The sequence below is a fragment of the Homo sapiens genome, chromosome 11, assembly GCF_000001405.40.
Source record: "Homo sapiens chromosome 11, GRCh38.p14 Primary Assembly".
In the NCBI taxonomy this organism is placed as follows: Eukaryota; Metazoa; Chordata; class Mammalia; order Primates; family Hominidae; genus Homo; species Homo sapiens.
In genome coordinates this window covers 62,771,120-62,783,769 of record NC_000011.10, presented here as the reverse complement: position 1 = coordinate 62,783,769, position 12,650 = coordinate 62,771,120, and the positions used below count along the sequence as shown (strand labels likewise).

General features: G+C 51.6%; 2 protein-coding genes across 6 annotated transcripts in view, besides 3 other annotated features; one reads left to right on the top strand and one right to left on the bottom strand.

Annotated features, from left to right (window-relative positions):
- Window positions 1–12,374, bottom strand: part of TAF6L (TATA-box binding protein associated factor 6 like) — a 15,947-nt gene extending 3,573 nt beyond the window's left edge. Inside the window, exons 1-9 of one of the 3 annotated variants that reach the window (NM_006473.4) lie at window positions 12,280–12,374; window positions 7,840–7,999; window positions 7,300–7,386; window positions 5,642–5,792; window positions 5,435–5,485; window positions 4,807–4,901; window positions 1,802–1,876; window positions 1,437–1,657; window positions 945–1,077 (exon numbers count right to left, since the gene is read on the bottom strand). In NM_006473.4, coding sequence (NP_006464.1) covers window positions 945–1,077; window positions 1,437–1,657; window positions 1,802–1,876; window positions 4,807–4,901; window positions 5,435–5,485; window positions 5,642–5,792; window positions 7,300–7,386; window positions 7,840–7,986 — 960 coding nt within the window. In that variant the 5' untranslated portion in view covers window positions 7,987–7,999; window positions 12,280–12,374. Of the gene's footprint in view, window positions 1–944; window positions 1,315–1,436; window positions 1,658–1,801; window positions 1,877–4,806; window positions 4,902–5,434; window positions 5,486–5,641; window positions 5,793–7,299; window positions 7,387–7,839; window positions 8,000–12,279 lie in introns of those variants that run through there. The other 2 variants (XM_005273714.3, XM_017017100.3) reach the window with 2 other exon arrangements.
- The window catches only part of TMEM223 (transmembrane protein 223), a 20,887-nt gene extending 8,237 nt beyond the window's left edge, over window positions 1–12,650 (top strand). The window contains exons 2-4 of one of the 3 annotated variants that reach the window (XM_047427581.1): window positions 9,105–9,175; window positions 11,638–11,693; window positions 12,408–12,650. In XM_047427581.1, the coding sequence (XP_047283537.1) occupies window positions 9,105–9,175; window positions 11,638–11,664 (98 nt within the window). In that variant the 3' untranslated portion in view covers window positions 11,665–11,693; window positions 12,408–12,650. Of the gene's footprint in view, window positions 1–9,104; window positions 9,176–11,637; window positions 11,705–11,770 lie in introns of all 3 variants that reach the window. The other 2 variants (XM_047427579.1, XM_047427580.1) reach the window with 2 other exon arrangements.
- Window positions 6,262–6,311: an enhancer, noted in NCBI's record as "active region_4847". NCBI's record gives its function as "activates an Ori minimal core promoter by ATAC-STARR-seq in GM12878 lymphoblastoid cells {active_cell/tissue: GM12878}" and the evidence as "EXISTENCE:reporter gene assay evidence [ECO:0000049][PMID:35858748]".
- Window positions 11,785–11,924: an enhancer, noted in NCBI's record as "active region_4846". NCBI's record gives its function as "activates an Ori minimal core promoter by ATAC-STARR-seq in GM12878 lymphoblastoid cells {active_cell/tissue: GM12878}" and the evidence as "EXISTENCE:reporter gene assay evidence [ECO:0000049][PMID:35858748]".
- Window positions 12,115–12,524: a silencer, noted in NCBI's record as "silent region_3429". NCBI's record gives its function as "represses an Ori minimal core promoter by ATAC-STARR-seq in GM12878 lymphoblastoid cells {active_cell/tissue: GM12878}" and the evidence as "EXISTENCE:reporter gene assay evidence [ECO:0000049][PMID:35858748]".

Genomic DNA, 12,650 nt, shown 5'->3' with positions numbered 1-12,650 from the left:
CTTGAGGCTAGGAGTTTGAGACCAGCCTGGCTAACATGATGAAACTGCCTCTCTACTAAAAATACAAGTTAGGTGGGCATGGTGGCACGTGCCTGTAATCCCAGCTACTCGGGAGGGTGAGGTGGAAGAATTGCTTAAATCCAAGAGGGAGAGGTTGCAGTGAGCTGAGATCATGCCACTGTACTCTAGCCTGGGCGACAAGAGCAAAACTCCGTCTCAAAAAAAAAAAAAAAAGATCCTCCCTCTTAATATTATCACAGTGGCAACACCTAACTTTTTTTTTTTTTTGAGACAGAGTCTCGCTCTGTCGCCCAGGCTGCAGTGTAGTGGCGCAATCTCGGCTCACTGCAAGCTCCGCCTCCCGGGTTCACGCCATTCTCCTGCCTCAGCCTCCCGAGTAGCTGGGACTACAGGCGCCCGCCACCACACCAGGCTAATTGTTTGTATTTTTAGTAGAGATGGGGTTTCACCGTGTTAGCCAGGATGGTTTCGATCTCCTGACCTTGTGATCCGCCCACCTCAGCCTCCCAAAGTGCTGGGATTACAGGCGTGAGCCACTGCGCCCGGCGCCAACACCTAATTTTTAAAGCGTATAATCATTTGATAATTTCTACAGATGCTAAAAAGGTATGACAAAATTCAGTATCTATTCATGTGTAAAATGCTCAATACAACAGGAATTGAAGGTATTTCTTAATGTGATAATATAGAACGGGCAGGAATTTATAAAATGTGGGGACATCAGTATCTGCCATATAGGACTTTCGAAAGGATAAGACATTTACATTCAGAAAGTCAAGTATCACTGAGCCTGGCCTAAGGCCAGAACTCAATACATGGCAGTGGCAGGCACACACTATTTTGGAGATAACGATGCACAAGTACTATTTTTCTAACACAAATGGGAGTTCTTACGGCTGTGTGAGAAAGGCCAGGGTGCTCACCTTCCAGCCAAGAGCATGCAGCCCCACCACGGCTCCATAGTGGCAGCAGAGCGGCCGCACAGGATCTGCCAGGATCTTCTGCAGGGATAGCAGGATATGCTGATAGAGGCCACTTACAAGGTCCCCATGAGTCCTGTGGGAGCACCATTCAGTTAGGGAGGGGAATGAGGCATGGTGCCACCCAACAGGGCACAAGACAACACAAAGAGAATAGCATCTGTACAGCACACTCGGGAGTGCTGGGGTTAAGTGAAGAAGGCTGCCAGGGGTGACTGGCCTAGGACCTGAGGGCTGAAGAACCAATACCTTGGCGTATTTGTAATCCATTTTCAGAATCCCAGTGTGTCACAGCACACCAGCTAGGACGCTCCTAGGGAAAAGGTTCCCCATCTTCTCATAGACTCTCAAAGCCAGAGGCTTCGCCCCATTTCCTTACCCCAACCCACTTGGCTCTGCAGCAATCCCACCCGCAGGTTTAGGCCCAGTGGCTACCAGAAGATGTGGCTGAGCAGGAGGGCAGCCCCATCCCGCAGAGTCCAGTGGTCATTCAGGGGGTTGATGGAGGCAGCCAGTGGCTCCAGGACACAGTAGAGGACACTGCCCACCAGACAGCGGACATAGGGCCCCAAGCACAGGTGCGGATTACGAAATAGGCTCCGTGCCACCTGCAGCAGCCGGTGCAGTTGCTCCAGGTCATGGCTTACAGATTTCACCTGTTGGGAGAAGAGGGTAGCTTACAGGGACATGAGGGGACAGGCAGGAGCCCACCATTCTGACAGCACTTGCCATGAGCCCTACACCTGCTGGGTCATCTCTTCCTTATAAAACATTCTCCCTGTCCCAGCCTGGTCACTTACCCCACTGACCACATAAACAAAGTAAGGCAGGAGTGCCCCAATCTTGGAGTTCGTCTGCAAGTCCTGGAGTGCAACCTAAAAGGAAGGGCCCAGACTGCATTGGATCCACCAGAAAATTGTAAAACATGAATGCGGTATTCTTCTGGAAGACAGTGTATCACCTTATTCATGTTTTACAATTTTAATGTTCATATTCTTTGATCTAGCAATTCTATTTCTATAAATGTAACCTACAGAAACTCATTCACATATACCTGCATATGGCCCTGAATACAACCTGAATGTCCAACTTTTTTTTTTTTTTTTGAGACCGAGTCTCGCTCTGTCGCCCAGTGGCACGATCTTGGCTCACTGCAAGCTCCACCTCCCAGGTTTTACACCATTCTCCTGCCTCAGCCTCCCGAGTAGCTGGGACTACAGGCGCCTGCCACCACACCCGGCTAATTTTTTCTATTTTTTAGTAGAGACGGGGTTTCACCGTGTTAGCCAGGATGGTCGCGATCTCCTGACCTCGTGATCTGCCCACCTCAGCCTCCCAAAGTGCTGGGATTACAGGCGTGAGCCACCGCGCCCGGCCATCCAACATTTTTAACTGAGAAAGGCAATCTATAAAACCAGATGCTTAATATAATACCACTTAGGTTTTTATGAGAGTAATCATAGTTGATACAGAGAAAAAAAAGTAGGTGGAGGAATAGACTTTTCAGTTTCTTTTTCTTTTTTTTTTTTCTTTGAGATGGAGTCTCGCCCTGTCGCCCAGGCTGGAGTGCAGTGGCTCAATCTCAGCTCACTGCAACCTCTGCCTCCTGGGTTCAAGCAATTCTTCTGCCTCAGCCTCCCAAGTAGCTGGGATTACAGGCGCCCACCACCACGCCCAGCTAATTTTTGTATTTTTAGTAGAGACAGGGTTTTGCCATGTTGACCAGGCTAGTCTCGAACTCCCGGCCTCAAGCAATCCACCCGCCTCGGCCTCCCAAAGTGCTGAGATTACAGGCGTTAGCCACCGTGCCCGGCCCTTTTTTTTTTTTTTTTGAGATGGAGTCTCACTCTATTGCCCAGGCTGGAGTGCGGTGGCGCGATCTCGGCTCATTGCAACCTCTGCCTCTTGGGTTCAAGCGATTCTCCTGCATCAGCCTCGCAAGTAGCTAGGATTACAGACGCATGCCACCAAGCCCGGCTAATTTTCTGGTATTTTTAGTAGATATCCAACGGGAAATCACCATGTTGGCCAGGCTGGTCTCGAACTCCCGGCCTCACATGATCCACCCACCTCGGCCTCCCAAACTGCTGGGATTACAGGCGTGAACCACCGCACCCAGCCACTTTCTTTTTCTATGTTTTTATATTATATGTACTTCTACAGTAAACATGTACTAGTATTACTTTTTCGTTTTTCTTTGAGACGGAGTTTCGTTCTATCAGCCAGGCTGGAGTGCAGCAGCGTGATCTTTTTTTTTGAGATGAAGTTTTGTTCTTGTTGCCCAGGCTGGAGTGCAATGGCACAATCTCAGCTCACAGCAACCTCTGCCTCCCAGGTTCAAGCGATTCTCCTGCGTCAGCCTCCTGAGTAGCTGGGATTACAGGCGTCCACCACCACACGTGACTAATTTTTGTATTTTTAGTAGAGACGGGGTTTCACCATGTTAGCCAGGCTGGTCTTGAACTCCTGACCTCAGGTGATCCACCTGAGTGGTGTGATCTTGACTCACAGCAACCTCTGCCTCCTGGGTTCAAGCAATTCTCCTGCCTCAGCCTCCCGAGTAGCTGGGATTACAGGCACCCACCACAACAGCCAGTTAATTTTGTATTTTTAGTGAAGATGGGGTTTCACCATGTTGGACAGTCTGGTCTCGAACTCCTGACTTCAAGTGATCCGCCCACCTCTGCCTCCCAAAGTGCTGGGAGGCCAAGGAAGGATTGCTTGAGGGCAGGAGTTTCACCAGCCTGGGCAATACAGTGAGACCCTGTCTCTAAAAAAAAAAAAAAAAAAAATATATATATATATATATATATATAGGCTCACGCCTGTAATCCCACCACTTTGGGAGGCAGAGGCGGGTGGATCACCTGAGGTCAGGAGTTTGAGACCAGCCTGGCCAACACGGTGAAACCTCATCTCTACTAAAAATGCAAAAATTAGCCAGGCATGGTGGTATGCCCCTGTAATCCCAGCTACTTGGGAAGCTGAGGTGGGAGAATTGCTTGAACCCAAGAGGTAGAGGCTGCAGTGAGCCAACATCACACCACTGCACTCCGGCCTAGGTGACAGAGCAAGACCCCATCTTAAAAAAAATGTTTTTTTAATTAAAATAATAAATAAAAATTTAAATGTTCATAGAATTAGGCCGGGCACAGTGGCTCACACCTGTCATCCCAACACTTTGGGAGGCCAAGGCGGGTGGATCACCTGAGGTCGGGAGTTCGAGACCAGTCTGACCAACATGCTGAAACCCCCGTCTCTATTAAAAATATAAGGCTGGGCACGGTGGCTCACACTTGTAATCCCAGCACTTTAGGAGGCTGAGGCAGGTGGATCACAAGGTCAGGAGATCAAGACCATCCTGGCTAACACGGTGAAACCCCGTCTCTACTAAAAAATACAAAAAATTAGCCGGGTATGTTGGCGGGCACCTGTAGTCCCAGCTACTCGGGAGGCTAAGGCAGGAGAATGGCATGAACCCAGGAGACGGAGCTTGCAGTGAGCCGAGATCGCGCCACTGCACTCCAGCCTGGGTGACAATGCAAGACTCCGTTTCAAAAACAAAACAAAACAAAACAAAATTAGCCGGGCATGCTGGCACACGCCTGTAATCCCAGCTATTCAGGAGGCTGAGGCAGGAGAATCACTTGAACCTGGGAGGCAGAGGGTGCGGTGAGCTGAGATCATGCCATTGCACTCCAGCCTGGGCAACAAGAGCGAAACTCTGTCTCAAAAAAAAAAAAAAAAAACAGGTCTAGAATTTACAATTTCAACTTTGTGCCCCAACTTGGGCCCACTCGCTCACCTTCATCAGTTGCGGATCATCCCCTAGCACAGCACGAGTCACCTGGTGATAGTACTTGAGAAGGTCATCTGTCAGTGAAGACACAGCACTGGGCACTGCCAGAGGACAGGCAGGAAGCAGGGACAGGTGGAGAGCTGGCCCTCTCCTGGCCTCTCCAGCCTCCTCCCCCTCAACCACCATCCCCACACACATCCACAAGAAGCCTTTCTGACAGGACAACCAGGGCAAGAGACTGCTCTTAGAGCCTGCTCAGCCCTGACCATCTAGGCTCTGCACACCTCTGTGCTCTGTCCTGTCTTCCACCCACCCTCTGCCAGACGGACTCCTGAGAGCTTCAGGCTCTGTGAAGCTCTGCTCAGCATACCCTGGGGGTGAAACACCGCCCCAGCATGCTGCCCAGACTTCTGTCTTAGCATCCAACATGCTGCATTATGACTAGTTACAGGTCTGGGCCCCCATCTCCAACTCTGAGCCCTCCATGCAGAGCCCAGCGCCCACTCAGACCATGGCACAAGGCAGGCATGGGTAAACACATGTTAGACGCAGACTCGGGGGCACATAGGCACCACCCTCAGAACCTAAGGGAGAAAATTCATCCAAAGAGCCTGTTTCCTACATCACCCCTTACCCGATCCTTGAGGTGCCAGGTTCCCTTTGCCATCCAGGTAGGAGACATGAACTAGAAGCAGTGCAGAGAGATGTGTCAGCCTGGCGTTTTGCCCCTTAGAGTACCGCCTACCCCTCCAAGTTCTGCCTCTTCCACCAGCCAGCCCATCACCACTTCTCTTCACGGCCCAACTCCCATCCCCAACCCATGCAGGACCCCGGCAGCCACCTCTGACAGCTGTCTCAGCACAGCCTTTGGGGATGTTGGTAGCCAGGGCCAGCTCCACCAGGTTCACCTCTCGATCCTCAGGAAAGTAGAGTTCACCCTCCCTGGCGGGGCGCATGGGCAGTGCCTCCTGTGATCCGTAACCACACACAGCCTGAGGAAAAAGGGAATTGGAGAGCAGCCTGAATCCAGGGAGGGAGCAGGCGTCAGGATCCAGGATGAGGCTCCACTGACCAGAGCAGAGAGCCCACGTTTGAAGGAAGTCCAGAAGTCCCAAGAAAAGTGGTGGAAGCCTGGGACTCAGAGCCACCACTGGGGACTTGCCTGGAGCATCCGGGGCTCCCTGGGTCAAGGGAAAGAACATGGTCGCTCCTCCCATAACTGGAAGGGTCCTGAGCCCCACACCAAGCACTGGTCCTCCTTATTCACACTCACTCAACTTTGAAAACTCACTAATGTCTTCTAAACATAGCCTTCCTCTCTCAACTCACCGCTCCAGAAAAACCACACCATGAGGCCCTAACACCCACACTGTTGCTCAGGCTCCTCCCTTAGCCTGAATGCCTTCTTTTCCTCTTGGCCTAGTTTAAGCCAAGCTCAAGTTCTTCACCACCCTTTAAGGGCCAGCTCCAGTCCCACCTCCTCCAAAAAGCTTTCTCTAACCTCTGGGCCTCCAGTGGCCTCCTCTCCCTCTTTTCTGAACACATAGCCCAGGTGGGCTGGGCCTAGCACCTGGTCTGCTGTTGCTATCAGGGTCTTGCTTCCCTTATGTGTGCGTTTAGTCTTTTTTTCTTTTTTTTGTTTTGAGACAGAGTTTTGCTCTTTCGCCCAGGCTGGAATGCAGTGGCGTGATCTCGGCTCACTGCAACCTACGCCTTCCAGTTTCAAGCGATTCTCCTGCCTCAGCCTCCCAGGTAGTTGGGATTACAGGTGCCCACCACCACACCCAGCTAATTTTTGTGTTTTTTTGGTTGTTTTTTTTTTTGACATGGAGTCCTGCTCTGTCACCCAGGCTGGAGTACAGTGGCACAATCTCAGCTCACTGCAACCTCTGCCTCCCAGGTTCACGCGATTCTCCTGCCTCAGCATCCTGAGTAACTGGGGTTACAGGCGCCCACCGCCACGGCCAGCTAATTTTTGTATTTTTAGTAGAAACGAGGTTTCACCATGTTGGGCAGGTTGGTCTCAAACTCCTGACTTCGTGATCCGCCGGCCTCCACCTCCCAAAGTGCTGGGATTTTAGGTGTAAGCTCCTGTGCCCGGCCTTTTTTTTTTTTTTTTCTTTTTTTGAGACAGGGTCTTGCTCTGTTGCCCAGGCTGGAGTGCAATCTCAGCTCACCACAACCTCTGCCTGCTAGGTTCAAGCGATTCTCATGCCTCAGTTTCCTGACTAGATGGGATTACAGACATGTACCACCAGGCCCAGCTAATTTCTGTATTTTTAGTAAAGAAGGGGTTTCGCCATGTTGGCCAGGCTGGTCTTGAAGTCCTGGCCTCAAGTGATCCGCCCACCTCGGCCTCCCAAAGTGCTGGGATTACAGGCATGAGCCACCATGCCCGGCAGCGTTTGGTCTTAATGTCTCACCACATCGCCAGCCCTGAACTGGACATGGAAGTGGCCTCATGCCACCTGAGCCCTCTGTAGCCTGCACCCCACTCACCTCCACGCTGCTCCATCTGAGGGCCCTGTTGAAGTCCTCAACCGTCAGCTTCCGGCGTTTGGTGTGCTTCATGAACTGAGAGCTATTCTGGGAGGGAGGGAACAAAAGCCAGAGTCAAAGGATGTGAAGCAGGGGGCATGGGAAACCCCAAATGAAGTGGGCCAGACTGGAGAGAAGGCAAACAGGAGACCACGCTTAGGGATCAGAAGCCTAGATTCCGTCTCTGCTCCTGTACAAAAACACCCCCCGGGTGTCACATCTTCTGTCAACACCTCAGTTTCTCACATGCAGAATGTGAGTATCTACCCGCTCTGCCTGCCCAACAGGGCTGTTGTGAGGAGCACATGGGAAGATGCCTGGCAAGCGCTTTGTCTGCTGGAAGCCCAGACAGCTACAAGTAGAGTTCTGTAAAGGCATGGACTGTCTCTGTTGTATGGAGCAGGCACCCAGTGTACACTTGAATAAATCAGCGAGGGTGGAGGTTAGTAAAAAGGCAGAAACAAGGAAAGTTGGAGGTATCAGGGGGTGAGGGGAGTGTACCTGCGTGGCCTCTCTCAGACGATAGCACACGTCCTCTGCGAGCAGCGCCGCCACCTCATCGCTCAGCTCCAGGCCCGTGCTCTCCGCCATGAGCCGGACAGACTCCCGAGGGATCTCCACAAACCGCCGCTCTTCTCGCTCTGACATGGCCCCAGTGGAGCTGGGAGTGGAGAATGAAGACTGGAAAAGCTGCCCAGCCTCCCGGAGAGCCCAGGAGTGTGATCCAACACCCTCCACACCAGCCTTGCTGCTCGTGCTCTGGAGTTTCTAAACAAGGAGCTCTGAGTACCCAGATGAGGAAAGTGAGGCTCAGAGAAGGAAACAGACTGGCCAGTGGGTCAAGAACGGTGAAGCTAGACAAAGTCCAAAGTGTTGGGGTTCACAGAACTAGGTCCCATTCCTGCCCTGTCACCTTCTATGTGAATTTGGCCAAGGCCTTCATCAGTCTGAGCCCTTGTGTCCTAAACTGTAAAACAGGCACAATAATTCCTGCCCTCTCTAGCTCACAGGGTTGCTGTGAAAATGAGATGACTGATATGATTTGGCTGTGTCCCCGCACAAATCTCACCTTGAATTTTAATAATCCCCACGTGTCAAGAGCGGGACCAGGTGGAGATAACTGAATCAAGGGGACATTTTCCCCCATGCTGTTCTCCTGATAGTGAGTTCTCAAAAGATCTAATGGTTTTATAAAGAGCTTTTCCCCCTTTTGCTCGGCACTTCTCCTAGCTGCAGCCACATGAAGAAAGACATGTTTGCTTCCTCTTCCACCATGACTGTAAGTTTCCTGAGGCCTCCCCAGCATTGAGTCAGTTAAACCTCTTTCCTTTATACATTACCCAGTCTTTTCTTTTTTTTTTTTTTTTTTGAGACAGAGTCTCGCTCTGGCGCCAGGCTGGAGTGTAGCAGCGCGATCTCAGCTCACTGCAACCTCCGCCTCCCGGGTTCAAGTAATTATCTGCCTCAGCCTCCTGAGTAGCTGGGATTACAGGTACCTGCCACCACGCCCGGATGGCTAAATTTTTTTTTTTTTTTTTTTGAGACGGAGTTTTGTTCTTGTTGCCCCCAACTCTCCTGCCTCAGCCTCCCAAGTAGCTGGGATTACAGGCACGTGCCACCACGCCCAGCTAATTTTTGTATTTTTAGTAGAAACAAGATTTCGCCATGTTGGCCAGGCTGGATAGTAGCTGGGCTTTCTGCCTATGTGTTTGGTCTTCCCCAGTTTGGCTGCAGTGCCTAAATGCTGGAACCTGTTTTGTTCACAGGGTATAGCACAATAAGAAACCGACAAAAACAGCAGCTGATGACTCACTCCAACAACGCACAGCACCAGAAGGTAGGCTCCCGTGCGCCAAAGTGATGCATCCACACCTCAGACAGGAAGGCCCAGATCCAGGATGACCCACCCAGGCATTGCCCCCACTACTCCTCTGGCAGGGGATCAATGGGTCACCAGTGACGTCCAGGTCCCTACATCCAATGGACAGCTATGTGGCTTCTGTGCAGCACTCCTCCCAATGGCTCCCCATTGTCTTTGAAATAAAGAACAAATTTGGGCCGGGCGCGGTGGCTCACGCCTGTAATCCCAGCACTTTGGGAGGCCGAGGCAGGCGGATCACAAGGTCAGGAGATCCAGACCATCCTGGTTAACACGGTGAAACCCCATCTCTACTAAAAATACAAAAAATTAGCTGGGCTTGGTGGCGGGCGCCTGTAGTCCCAGCTACTCGGGAGGCTGAGGCAGGAGAATGGCGTGAACCCAGGAGGCGGAGATTGCAGTGAGCCGAGATCACGCCACTGCACTCCAGCCTGGGCAACAGAGCAAGACTCCGTCTCAAAAAAAAAAAGAAATAAAGAACAAATCTGAACAATGGCTCTGGAGGCTCTGCATGTACTGCCTACTTCTGCAATACCTCTTACCTCTTATCTCCTACTTTCTTGTGTTCTGTATTCCCACCTGTGTCCTCCTTTCAGTTCCTCAAATACACCTATTTTAGGACCTTTGAACACTGCTTCCTCCACTTGGAACTCTCTCCTCCCTGTCCTCCACCCCCAATCCCTTTGTCTAGTGAACTGCTACTCACTCCTTCAGATTTCAGTTCAAATGTCACTTGCTCAGGGATGTCTTCCTAGATCCTCCAATGTCCTTGCATTCTGCCTCCAAACCAGTCGTAAGAATTTGTAGCTGGACCCAGTGGCTCACGCCTCTAATCCCAGCACTTTCGGAGGCCAAGGCGGGCGAATCACCTGAGGTCAGGAGTTCAAGACCAGCCTGACCAACATAGAAAAACCCCCATCTCTACTACAAATACAAAATTAGCCAGGTGTGGTGGCACATGCCTGTAATCCCAGCTACTCGCAAGGCTGAGGCAGGAGAATCGCTTGAACCCGTGAGACAGAGGTTGCAGTGAGTCAAGATCGCACCAGTGCACTCCATTCTGGGTAACAAGGGGAAAACTCCGTCTCAAAAAAAAAAAAAAAATTGTAGGCCGGGCGCAGTGGCTCATCTGTAATCCCAGCACTTTGGGAAGCCAAGGCGGGTGGATCACAAGGTCAGGAGTTCTAGACCAGCCTGGACAATATGGTGAAACCTCGTCTCTACTAAAAATACAAAAATTAGCTAGGCATGGTGGTCCGCGCCTGTAGTCCCAGCTACTCCGGAGGCTGAGGCAGGAGAATTGCTTGAACCCGGGAGGTGGAGGTTGTAGTGAGCCAAGATCGCACCACTGCACTCCAGCCTGGGCGACAGAGCAAGACTCCATCTCAAAAAAAAAAAAATTTGTAATTATAGGCCAGGCATGGTGGCTCACGCCTGTAATCCCAGCACTTTGGGAGGCCGAAGCTGGTGGATCACGAGGTCAGGAGATGAAGACCATCCTGGCTAACACGGTGAAACCCTGTCTCTACTAAAAATACAAAAAATTACCCAGGAGGCTGAGGCAGGAGAATCACTTGAACCCAGGAGGCAGAGGCTGCAGTGAGCCGAGATTGCACCACTGCACTCCAGCCTGGATGACAGAGCTAAACTCAGTCTCAAAAAAAACACAAAACAAAAAACAAAAACAAACAAAAAAAAAAGATCTTCTAAAAGAAAGAAAGAAGAACTATTCTTTTTTTTTTTTTTTGGAGATGATGTCTGATGTCTCACTCTGTCACCCAGGCTGGAGTGCAGTGGCTTGATCTCGGCTCACTAAAACCTCCGCTTCCCGAGTAGCTGGGATTACAGGCCTGTGCCGCCACACCTGGCTAATTTTTGTATTTTTAGTAGGGATGGAGTTTCGCCATGGTAGCCAAGCTGGTCTGGAACTCCTGACCTCAGGTGATCCGCCCACCTCGGCCTCCAAAGTGCTGAAATTACAGGCGTGAGAGCCACCGCACCTGGCCCGACGAGCTTTTTTTTTTTTTTTGGAGACACAGTCTCGCTCTGTCACCCAGGCTGGAGTACAGTGGCGTGATCTCGGCTCACTACAACCTCTGCCTCCCTGGTTCAAGCAATTCTCCTGCCTCAGCCTCCCGAGTAGCTAGGACTACAGGCATACGCCGCCATGCCCAGCTAATTTTTTGTATTTTTAGTAGAGACGAGGTTTCACCGTGTTGCCCAGGCTGGCCTCGAACTCCTGAGCTCAGGCAATCCAGGTGCCTCGGCCTCCCAAAGTGCTAGGATTACAGGCGTGAGCCACCGCGCCCGGCCACGAATAGCACTGTACTATGCCTGAGACACAGCTAAGTGCTTTATATGGATTACTTCACTATATTCTCAATAATAAGATATTATTATGTATTTCGTCTATTTCACAGGCAAGGAAATCAAACCTCAGAGGCTAAATGTTCCATGACTTCTCCAAGATCATGAAGTAAGCACTGAGTAAGTAGGGAGGGGGAGCAAGGACTCAACCCCTTGCTCCTAATCTTTACTCTATACCGCATTCAGGAGCCGCCAGCTGTATGGGGAACAAGGCCTGGATCCCACCCCAAAGACATGGATTGGAGACCCACCCCTTGGTGACCCTAGACCCGCCAATAGATCGTTGTGAAGCTGCAGTTTCCCTATCTGTAAAATGGGAGCATTTAGTCCACCAGCGCGAAAGGCACGGAGGGAGTTTCCCTATTATATGACCGTACACGAAATCTAGACTGTGACCAAAGTCTCCCGCTCCTCAGCCTCCTCTCCTCCGCATCCTCAGCCACTAGTCACGCTGGAGAGGAGGCGTGGGAACTGACCTCCGCGGGCCGGGCCTCGGCAACGCGCATCCTCCCACCCGGCCTAGCCCAGCCCAGATCGGGGAGGGGGTGCGCGGGGGGAGGAGGTCAGGGGTCACTGAACTTGGGTCACGTGGTCAGCCAAGGGGGCGGGCCCTCGCGGTGCGGGCTCCAAGACTGGTGAGTAAGCAGTCGGCGTCGGGAATGGGGAGTCCTTGGACCAGAGCAAGGCCTGCTCACCTGAAGACCCCGGCGTGGCGAAGGCTGCTACCGAGACGACGGCGGCGGGGGCGGTGGCGGCGGCGCCCACTCACGAGCTCACACTCATTCCCTCTCCCGGGGCCCCGGCCCCGCCCTCCCCAATACAGCCAGTCGGCGGGCGCCTTGGAAAGTTTCCGGCCCTCCAGGAGGCTTCCTGGCTCTTGATTGGCCAGTGTGAACAGACTGTAGAGACCGGCGGTCACGTGACGCTGAAGATTCCCGCTTCTTAAAGCAACCTCTCTTGCTACGTTTGCGAGTAGGTGTGTATTGTTTTAACACACGTTTAATAAGCATATTTTATTTTTTTTACCACCACAATAGTAACGAGGAAATAAACAGTCTCAAAGACA